Source organism: Homo sapiens, chromosome 3 (genome assembly GCF_000001405.40).
Source record: "Homo sapiens chromosome 3, GRCh38.p14 Primary Assembly".
Lineage (NCBI taxonomy): Eukaryota > Metazoa > Chordata > Mammalia > Primates > Hominidae > Homo > Homo sapiens.
In genome coordinates this window covers 30,898,496-30,909,980 of record NC_000003.12, presented here as the reverse complement: position 1 = coordinate 30,909,980, position 11,485 = coordinate 30,898,496, and the positions used below count along the sequence as shown (strand labels likewise).

Sequence of the window (11,485 nt, the reverse complement as noted above, 5' to 3'; positions counted from 1 at the left end):
GACAAATAGAGTGCCACTCCACTGGGGTCTCACAACTGCCGCCGCATGATGGTTCCCACTCAGTATTTTTCAGGAGCACAATCTTGTCTTGAACTTTTTATGTATTAATACTTCCTCTTAAACACATGCCGAATTATTTGGGGGTTTCTAAGCATTCTTACTACTCAAAACCACAGGAGAAGAGATAGAGAATAAAAGAAAGGAAAAATCCCAAAGCTGCAAACTTAACCTACAAAGTTTAACGAAGACAGTGTTTTGAGTCTATAAATCATTACAGACTTGTCCCCTCACTTTTTTGCCCCTCAGCAAATTAGTTCTTGTTCTCCTCAGATTTTAAATTCCTTGGGGCCAGCTCTTTTTAGCAGGAAGGTGCTAAAGGCCCTCAAACTCCTCGGCTTTTTAGAAACGTTGGTATCTACTCTTTTTGGTATCTACTTTTAAAAATTTGTGAGACTTAGCAAGGGTCACAAATGCAAATGCATGTAAACTATGTGCCTGCCAGGAATTTAAATCAATTGGGCTGGGTGGAGACTGTGGCACTTATTAAATGCTGGGCATTAAGTGTTTTGCCTATATCAACTTCCTTGCTTATCACAATAACTACAAAAGAGGAATAACTACTATCCCTATTTTTCAGATGAAGAAACTGAGGCACAGAGAGGATAACAGAGAAAATACATGCCCTATATAAAGGGAGCAGCTGCTACACGGCTCCAGCTCATTTCAATCATGCAAGAATATAGGTCACGACATGATGTTTTTTAAGAGTTGAAATCTGAATTTAATGTGAATTCTCCCAATCAAGAGAAAAACCCTGGCAACTCTTTAGTTATTTTTAAAACATTGTGCAGGCCAAAAAGAAAACCTGTGTAGGCTTCAGACAGCCCATTTGCAATCTCGAGTCAATGGGTCTAAAAGCCTTGTAAGCAGCAAAGCTCTAATTTTTTTTTAAATCAAAAATACAGAAAATCCCGATAAATTACTATGAATCTGCTTTGGGTTAGATAACAGAAGTTAACCCTGTTGGCCACTGCTTTTCATCAGCAAGAGGACCCAGGACACCTTCACATCACCTGCAAACAACAGCCTTACCCAACTTAAAGCCAGTACTCACAGTACTTTAACTAAACGTTGTGGGGGAAAAAAAAGCCAGTGAGGCTCATTTGCATTGCACACAGGAGGCCAGACACCTGTCTTCTCCTTTACAATTACCATTCTTTACATACAGTTGCCAGGAGGAATCTAATTGCACCTCCAGTCACTCTTTCCATTATTTTTATTTATGTCAATAACGATCCTTTGCGCTGAATACTCAAGTTAAAATTTTAGAACCATTTACCCAATTGGAAGAAAACGTTTGGTTTGCTGAGCTCGTTTACATTTTAAGTTTTATTGTTCTTGTGTTTTGTAATGTTAAGTTTGAAACCAGCGCACATAGTAATGGCTGTGCTATAAATACACTAGAAAAATTGCCTCATGTCTCTGAAAGTTCCTACATATACACATGTATCTCTTTTCAAATTGCTTTCCCCCCAAAGAAAACACCAGTAGCAATAAAGGCTGACAAATGACTAATTTGGGTAAAAATACTTTCAGAGTCAAAGGTTTTTAAAACCAAAAGTTGTTTTAAAAATCTTCATAATTAGGCTGGGCGTGGTGGCTCACGCCTGTAATCCTAGCACTTTGGGAGGCCGAGGCAGGCGGATCATGAGGTCAGGAGATCCAGACCATCCTGGCTAACATGGTGAAACCCCATCTCTACTAAAAATACAAACAATTAGCTGGGCGTGGTGGCGGGCGCCTGTAGTCCCAACTACTAGGGAGACTGAGGCAGGAGAATGGCGTGAACCTGGGAGGCAGAGTTTGCAGTGAGCCGAGATTGCGCCACTGCACTCCAGCCTGGGTGACAAAGCAAGACTCCATCTCAAAAAAAAAAAAAGTCTTCATAATTAGTTCTAATTGACAGTCCTTTCTCTTCTCACCGTCCAGTGAGGGCCTTGAGAGACGTCAGGGCTATCTTGACCTTCCTGCAAGTAGGCAAAGCTGAGAGCAGGGGCACAGCTAGCCCAATGGGCACAATCCTGCAGAACAATGATTCTGGAAGTGTGGTCCTGTGCCCACTTACACTGAAATTATGGGGGCTGGGGAGAGGTTGGGGAAAATGGACTTGTTTAAAACACAGATTTTAGAGGCCCATCTCAGACCAATTTCATTAGCTTCTCTGGAATTTCAGCAGCAAAATTTGGAGTTTTCATGCATTTCCCCAAGTGATCCGTGCTCATACTGTAAACTGAGAATCATTATGACAGAAAATGTGAAATAAAAGCCATGTGTCCACGTTTCTTGTGTATTTACTATGTGCCAGACACTGTTGTGAGTACTTTCCATACACTCATTCATCTACTCCTCACCAATACCCTTTTGAGGTAGTTCCCATCATGCCCATTTTTCAAAAGAGGAAACTGGGGCACAGAAAGATTTAGTAAATTTCCCAATATCATATATTTGGTTATTGGCAGAGAAGATAGTTGAACCCAGGCAACTTGGCTTCAGAGGAGGCATAATTACTCTATCATTTCTCACATGGTGGCTTTCTGGGGTGCTGGTTTAAAATGCAGGTCCTGGGGTCCTCCTCCCAGTGATTCTGATTTGGTGGCTCCTGGGAGGGGCCCCGTGAGTCAGCTGGGGGTTCTCAAGTTCCTGGGGGAGGGCTTTCCTGCTCCCCACATCCAAACCTTAAGAAATGCTAGGATTTTCATGAGACATTCCCTCAAGTCAATTTCCCTCCCATTACTCATAAAAGCAGAGCTTGTGATCCTCCCCTCATTCCCAGACATCCCCAAAGTCCTCACTTGGAACATGCCCTGGAACCCTCTGTCTCTAGGAATTTTCATCTTTCTCTTTTTACTGGGCCTTTCCCTCTTGTTACAAATAAGCTCAAGACATCCCCAGCAATTAAGGCTGACAAATGGGGATGAAATACCACAATTGTAGCCTGCTTCCGGCCTCTAGCCTGTTGGGTTCGCTTTAATATCAAATTTACGAATTAGTAGTCCACCTTACTGTCAGAGGCATTTGAACCAGAGCGACTCCATCTTGAATAGGGGCTGGGTAAAATGAGGCTGAGACCTACTGGGCTGCATTCCCAGGAGATCAGGCATTTGTTACAGGACGAGATAGGAGATAGGCCCAAGATACATGTCACAAAACCTTGCTGATAAAATAGGATGTTGTAAGGAAGCCAGCCATCCTAAAAACCACCAAAACCAAGATGGCAATGAAAGTGACCTCTGGTCGTCCTCAGTGCTCATTATACACTAATTATAATGGAGTAGCATGCTAAAAGACTCTCCCACCAGTGTCATGACAGCTTACAGATGTCATGGCAATAGCAGGAAGTTACCCTATGTAGTCTAAAAAGGGGACGAACCCTCAGTTCTGGGAATTGTTCACCCCTTTCCCAGAAAACTCATGAATAATCCATTCCTAGTTTAGCATACAATCAAGAAATAACCATAAAAATAGCCAACCAGCAGCCTTCAGGGCTGCTCTGCCTATGGAGGAGGCAGAATAAATTTGTTTTCATTTTACTCTATGGACTCACCCTGAATTATTTCTTGTGCGAGGTCCAAGAACCCTCTCTTGGTGTATCAGGGCCCCTTTCCGGTAGCACTACCATCTCCACTTCCACAAACCCTCAGTTCATGCCTCAATCCACTACATTCTAGCTTCTGGCCATTCCCCTTCCTTTGAGGTGGCTCCAGCTAAGGTCTCTAATGGCCTCCTAATTGCAAAATCCTATGGATATTTTTCTGCATGTCCCCTGCCGGACACTAGGGTTGACTGCTTCTTGAAACCTCCCTTCACTGGTTTCTATCACTGTAGTCTTCATGTTCCCAATTCTCTGACTGTCCTTTCTTTCCCTTATTGTAGTATCCTCTTCTCGTGTTTGTCCCTTAAATTGAAGGTTCCCTAAGATTCTGTTCTGGATCTTCCTTTTCTCTTTCTGGCACTTTCAGCCACTCATGTGGCTTCATCAATCATTTATGATATCTCTAGTATCTTTCTTACTCTTAGAAACTCTAGTATCCTGTTTTTCAGCATCTTTCGGATAAGTCTATTTGAAGATCCCACAGTTGTTTCAAACTTGTCCTAAACAACTCACTCTCTACCATATCTCCTCAAACATGCTCTTTATTTTTTTCATTTCTGTTAAGAGTTTCAACAACCATCTAGTCTCCCCAAGTCAGAAAGCACCTTCGTCTCTCCCACCTCCTCGTTTAATGTAAGTCTTGAAATTTCGAGAGAATGTCTCACTGCTGTCACTGCCTTAGTTCAGGTTTGCAAACAGCTTCAGAGCTGGGCTGTCTGCCTCCAGTTTTTCTTGCCCAGTCTATCTTTAATATGCCATCAGATTTCATCTCTAAAGAAACAAAGTTGATAAGATCACATAATTGTTGAATTTTCACGCAACCAATAAGCTCAAGTAACCTTGATGTGAGGACATGACCTGACCTGATCTCAGCCCTTTCTTGGGTGCCTACCACTGTGTTTACTCACACTCTCTTCTTGCCATACTAAATTGCTGCTCATTTCAGTCAGCCTCCAGCCTTATTTACACAGGCTGATTCCTTTGGCTACAATGCTTTATTTTTTTTTCTTTATCTAATAAATCCACCTAATCTTCAAAGCCCAGCTGAGATGGCATCTCCTCCAGGAAGCCCCAAGTTGTCCGAGCAGAGATTATGTTACTCATGCTTTGGCTGCTTCAGGGTTTGGATCATCCTCTGAAATAGCATTCACCCAGTGTGTCCTGATTATCTTTTTACACAGCTGAATTCATCCCTCAGTGACAGCATCATAGGGTGAGGAGCACTGATTTGCCTCACCTGTTCTTGGAACCTCAAAGCCCGCACAGAGTAAATACCCACTAAGTGTTTTCCTAACAGATGACGGTTTCTCCTCGGCACTCAGAGGGCAATCAAGGTCACTGTTACTTATTTTCCTAAGATCCATTAAGTTTAGTTTGAGTGCTCACTTGACAGGCTGGTTAAACATTCTCTAGCAATCAAATTTGGGATACCCCTTGAATCTTACAAGACCAAATAATTAGTGATGGGAGAAGATCCTGCACACTAGCTAGTGAGGGACATTGCTGCCAAGACCAAGACAGACAAGTCTCATGGCTCAATTAATACAGTCAGTAAGATCAGGCTCAGGCAATCTTTTCCTACCTGTAGAGGTGCCCATATTGCTAGTCCCATCTGAAGCAGACCTACCTCCAAGACCCAGGACCTAAATTACCTAGCAACTGCAAGCACTTGAGCCTTTGACCTGCCCTGTCCCAGATTTGGACAGTCCCTGGTTCTACCATGTTGTATCCTCAAAGTCCAAATCCTCTGTCACCTCTATTTCTTCAGATGTCTAGATGAAATGCTCTGTTGACCTTGCCCAGGAATTGCCAACTCACATGGCTACATGGATCAGGAAGTGGAGCTGTCAGGAGACAGCAGAAGAGGGCTGAGGATGGCAGTTGCTTTTCAGCTCCAATGATTGACATTGTGAGATAAGCTAGGCCCAGTGTTGCCAAAAGGCTCTGATCTTTCAAGAGAAGCTGGCAATCATGATTTTTATGAGAAGTAGTTTTGTAATTAATTTTTAAAAAGTCAATATGTGAGGCAAAAAAAACCTGTCTGTAGACTAAATTTAACCGTGGTTAGGTAGTGTGTGACCTCTTACCTAGGGCTTTCTCTCATACAAAGGTTTTGAGGGTTTACTTCTAGGTTCTTTCCCCACCTTCCCCTCCAGCAAATTTTCATCTGACCTGGGAAAGAAAAAAAGAGCTACTTACTCTCACTGGAGAATGGGTAACCTAGTGCTGGCTGCTTCTTCCTTTGTAGTGATATGAGAATGTTAGAGACTTTTCCATGATGGGTTACAGAAATAAAACCATAAAAAACAAAGTCTAGTTAATTTCCTCAAAGTCATCTTGTAATGTTGACTGTGGTAGGGGGATGATAGACAGTCCAAGGTTGTACCTCTTCTTCTAAGGATCACTTCTATATTTTACAGTGACTTTCCCTCAGTGTGTTTTAAGCTATATATAGCGAAGGGCTATTTAAAAAACTCTGTATGAATTAAGAGCAAAATATAATAATGAATTACTAGAAAATGAAATTAAAAGACTCAAACAATCCAATTTTATTTTCATATTATTGGAGTCATAGGCATAACATTACTCTATTAAATTGTTATAAAGCAATGGTTCTCACCTGGGACATTTTATCTTGTGGGGACATTTGCCAATGTCTAGAGACATTTTTGATTGTCAAAACTGGGAGGAGAGTGCTACTAGCATCTAATGGGAAGACACCAGAGATGATGTTAAACATCCTTCAATGCACAGGACAGCTTCCACCACAATCATCAGGTTCCAGAGGTCCACAGTACTGAGGTTGTTTCTATTGTAGTGTCTAAATGACTCACCTCAATTTTTGCTCTCACCTTTCATGGGCCAGTTATGAGCATGTCCCAGATCAGCACTGGTCTGCAGAACACACTCTGAGAAGTAACATTCTAGAAGAGGTTTTCCCACTGCCTTTCTCATTAGCCCAAGGATGAGATCCCAATGTGGGGGAATTTTAGAAGAATTTGTGTATTACCCAAGGGTAATAAAAACAGATGGAAATCGTGTAACTTATAATATAGACATTTTCTTAAAACAACATAACTAACCCTAATGTAAGTGCTCTAGGATATGAATAGGAGTGCCCATAAACATCTCTAAACAGCATTGAAGAATGAATGCACAATCCCAGATTGAATCATGACACCTCATTGACATACCCAGCACCCTTGTCCTTTTTGACCACTAATATTTTAATCAGTTTAGCAGGATTTACCAAATGAATCATTAGTTTCTTACCACTAATCAATAGTTATTTTTAAAAATAGAGATTTCAAGGTTCATCAAAAGATGGAGGAGCTAGGTTGGGGGATTGCTGGGAATCTGTATATTTAGTAAGTACCCTGGGTGAGTCCAATAATTGAGAAGTCTGGAAAATACTGAGAGAAAAGATACCCCCAGCAGGTATTCTCCCACCATTTCTGAATCCACTCACAAGTCTTGTTGATACATTTATTCAACAACCCCTTATGCATTGCCTCATGCCACTCTGGGTTTGGGGCTTCAGCAGCCGAAAAGGCAAGAAGTCCCGGTGCACTCACAGCTCTGGCAGGCCCCTTGTATGCTACCTCCTGTCGGTCCCTTCCTCTCAGTTTTTACCATCCCTGCCTTGCTGGCAGCACTTGCCACCTCTCACCTAGATTATTACACAGAATAGTCCCCTCTCCGGGCTTCACCTTGTCCCCACCCCTGACCTCTGGGCATGTTCCATAATGATACTATCTCTCTCCATCTGTCCCAGATTAAAACTCTTCCCTGGGTTCCCATTGCCTAAAGGAGAAAGTCTAAGCTTCTAAATATGGCCTACAAGTCTTTCAGGACCTGGGCCCTGTTCCCTTCCCCACCCTCATCTCTCAACACCCTTTTCTCCCCACTTTAACACCTCCAGAAAGTACTGGCTCTATTGGTGCTGGGTCAGAGGTCACTACTTGGCCTATACTTGCCCTTCTGCCTGGAAAACCAGTATTCTACCTTATTAACACCATCCACGTGGAAAACTTGTATTCATTTTTCAAAATTCAGCTAAAATATTAGCTTTTTATGCTGATTGTCAACATTTAAGAATGTACTATGTATGATAGGCACTGTGCTAAATGTTTGTTTCATTTATTCTCTACAAGAACCCCATGAGGTAGGTACCCTTTTTATTCTACATTTACTATTGAGGAAATGGAAATGGCAGTTAGCTAATTTAGGTAACTTTCCAATGGTTGTACAATAGTAAGTGGTAGAAACTGGATTCAAACCCAGGATGAACCCAGATCCCACCTTCCACCGGACCACTTCACATTTCTTCTCTCTGGGAGAGCCTTTCTGGTTGCTCCTGTCTCCCAGATGGCTCATGTGGTGGACTATACTCTTGTTTATAAACACTCGCTGCCCCTCCCTGGGAGAAGATCAACATTATTATTTCCTGTCCTATTGGTGTCAATTTTGGCCATGTGACTTGCTTTATCCCATGAACTATAGGCAGAAATATGGGTATTCTTCCTGGATAGACAGTGTGGGAGCCAGGGCATGGTTTTGCTTACTCTTAACTCTCTTAAGTGAGCCTGTCCAGAGAGAGGTTACTTCAGCATCCTGGGTCCTGGGGGGGCAATGAAGTACAGAAGATGCATAGTGGACATTTAGCAGGAGTGGGAAATAAATCTTAGTTGATTTGGGGACTTACTTGCTGCTGAGCACAACCCAAGTGTTCCTGACAAAACTTCCAGAAAAGTTACTTAAAGGGGTCCAAGTAGCTGCCTGCTCAGCACTGCTTCTGTACATTTTTCTGTGCATACTTCTATCGTTGCACTTAACACAACATATTGTGATTTAACTGTCCACATATCAATCTCCCCTGCCAGTTCTCTAAGGAACCATGACTTATTCATGTGCCACGTTTAGCTCAGTGCCTTTCACATCAAAGCTCAATAAGAATTATTTGAATGAGTGCCTGATCATTGGAAAAATAATGATCAAGTGTCCACATTGTCTACTAGCTAAAAGAACAATGCTCCATGTCAAATGGCCTTGAATATTGCATTGTCATCCCCTCAAATCCTTTGACTTAGTCCCAGTGAGGCAGATTTTTAAAAATATGTCAAATCCAGATAAAATAAGACATGGAAGTAGGGTCAGATATTGCAAAACAGAAGAGCTCTTGAAATCCACGAACCTACGTTTGAGTCCCAGATCTGTTGCTTACTAGCAATGGGTCCTTAGATAAAAGCCTAATTTTTAATTTATAGAATAGTAGTTACAATTATTGCTTCCCAGGATCATGGTGAATATTACATGTCAGGTTCTCAACACAGCTTGGCTCATTAAGACACTGTGATTGATATTCGTCCCTCTTTTTTTGTTTCTTTGGCTGTCCTGCATCTAACCCTCCTTCCTACGTGTGAGAGTCCCTCTTGGAGGATGATAATGGTGGGGCCACTTTACTGCCCAGGGAAGCCAAAGGGAGGAGATTCAGGCTATCTCTATCCTTGGATCCAGGCATGACATGGGTAATCAGGCACATACACCTGATTGATTTGCTCAAGTGATACAAAGATAAGAAACTGGATTCACCCACTGACCTATCCTCCAAGCAAACCACCATGGCACATGTTTACCTAGGTAACAAACCTGCACATTCTGTATATGTATCCCAGAACTTAAATTAGAAAAATAAAATTAAAAAATAAACTGGATTATCTCTGAGTACTTGAGATAGCATCTGATGGCAGCAACGGGGCTTTCTTGCAGCAGTGGGACAAAGTGGGTATCCTTGATCAGACTCATCCCTATAAAAAATTACTTGTTATGCTTCCTGGTTTTTGAACTTCCAGAGCTTGGTTCTTGCTTAACTGCCAAGTCTGATTTTCCATCTTTACAACCCTTCAGTGAAGTCTGTATGGCCTTGCTATCCTCCCAAATGATTGCTGTAAAACCAGTCTTAAGATAGGCAGATGTGATTTAGGTTGTTTGCAAGCAATACATGTTAGATCCCTTTCTCATTTTTTCTCTTCCACCTTCCCACTTTTGTTTCTATGAATTGCTAAGCTCTTTCTTTCTCTTGGCCTAGAGTTCTTCTCTAGTAACTAAACTGTGTTCCTATTCATGTTTTTAGCACCAAAGTATGCAAAAGATTGTAACCTAAATGATGTTTCCGGTCAGTTTTGAGCTCAGCTTGAAACTGATAAAATTAACGAGTGTTCTACCTCTTTCATAAGAAGTAATATCTGATCAAAACTCTTTCTCACACTCAGCCTCAACACACACACACACTTAGACTAGTTCTATTATCACTTGTCAGGAATCTTTTATTTTCTAACATACTGAATTTTTTTTTGAGTATTTACTTTGTGGCACTGGATCAAATCTGTAACTATAGCAGATATTACTGGCTGTCTACCCAATCTCCATTCTCCTTTTCCTCAATAGCAGAACCCCCAAAGTGCCCATATTCACACACACACACACACACACACACACACACACACACACACACACACACACACACTTCCCAGCCTCTCTTGAGAGGAAGTGTCTATATTAAATAGATGTTGTTGAACAAAACCACTGGGAAAGTTATTTAAAGGGTCTGAATCAACTGCCAGATGCCACTTTCTCCCCTTTCCCCTTTCCTTTTACTTTCCTGTTTGGAAGACTAACAGGAGTCCTCCGGAGTTCTGGCAGCCATTACAAGACAAGACCACGAGAAAGTTCTGAGGCTGGAAGGCTGCATTAAAGATGCTACAGAAGAAAATTAAAACATGCTTGATTAAAATATAGAACTGTAATAACAATCCTAGACTATGTCTACCTCCACACTTTGTGCTAAATGATGAAAAAAACAACCTAATGTACTTAAATCATTGCTAATTTAGATCTCTGCCATTAGTAACTGAAAGCACTTTACCTATACAGAGATATCACTCAAAAGTTCCTTAAAGTTTATACGATTAATCCCACTTTACACAGATGTGAAGTCTTAGGTTAGTTTTATCACTTGCTCAAGTTACTCATTCATTGGATAGTATTGGACTGACCCCGTATTGAGTACCATTGATTGGGCTGGTCAGCATCTGAATGTAGTGTTTATTTGACACCAAAGACTGGATTCTTAATCACTGCATTTTGCTGCCTCTCTGTTGAGTATGCTTCCAGATTTTCAAAGCCACACAATTTGGGGGAGCCTCTTGGATAGATGTGACTGGTAGAGATTTTCTCATCCGAATAGAAGCTTGGGATCTTCTTTGTTCTCTTTCACTTCCTATTCGACAAAAGGCACATTTCTCATCTTTAAATAAATTGGCCTACTGGCCAACTCTGCATGGAGTAACGCTTCTTTTTTCTTTCTTTTCATGTACGTATCTAATTCCTTGGAGCATTCCTATGAAAATCTGTTGTTGAGATGAGGTCAGCTTCCATAAAAAGTATGTGCAATGCAGTAGGTAGGTGCCCAGCAAATGTTGAACAAATTTATAAATTAATGAATGCTGTTTCCACAGCAGTCCTGCCTGGGATGTTAATTTTCAAGTTTTTGTTTGTTTAAGACAGAGTCTCACTCTGCCACCAGGCTGGGGTGGAGTGGCATGATCTCAGCTCATTGCAACCTCCACCTCCCAGGTTCAAGCGAGTCTCCTGCTTCAATCTCCCGAGTAGCTGGGACTACAGGTGCCAGCCACCACACCCAGCTAATTTTTGTATTTTTAGTAGAGATGGGGTTTCACCATGTTGGCCAGGATGGTCTCGATCTCTCAACCTCATGATCCACCCGCCTTGGCCTCCCAAAGTGCTGGGATTACAGGCATGAGCCACCGTGCC

The 11,485-nt window shown here is 41.8% G+C and overlaps 1 annotated feature.

Annotated features, from left to right (window-relative positions):
* Positions 953-1,514: an enhancer, noted in NCBI's record as "NANOG hESC enhancer chr3:30949959-30950520 (GRCh37/hg19 assembly coordinates)". NCBI's record gives its function as "activates a minimal SCP1, AML or CMV promoter by ChIP-STARR-seq in naive H9 embryonic stem cells {active_cell/tissue: H9 hESC(naive)}" and the evidence as "EXISTENCE:reporter gene assay evidence [ECO:0000049][PMID:30033119]".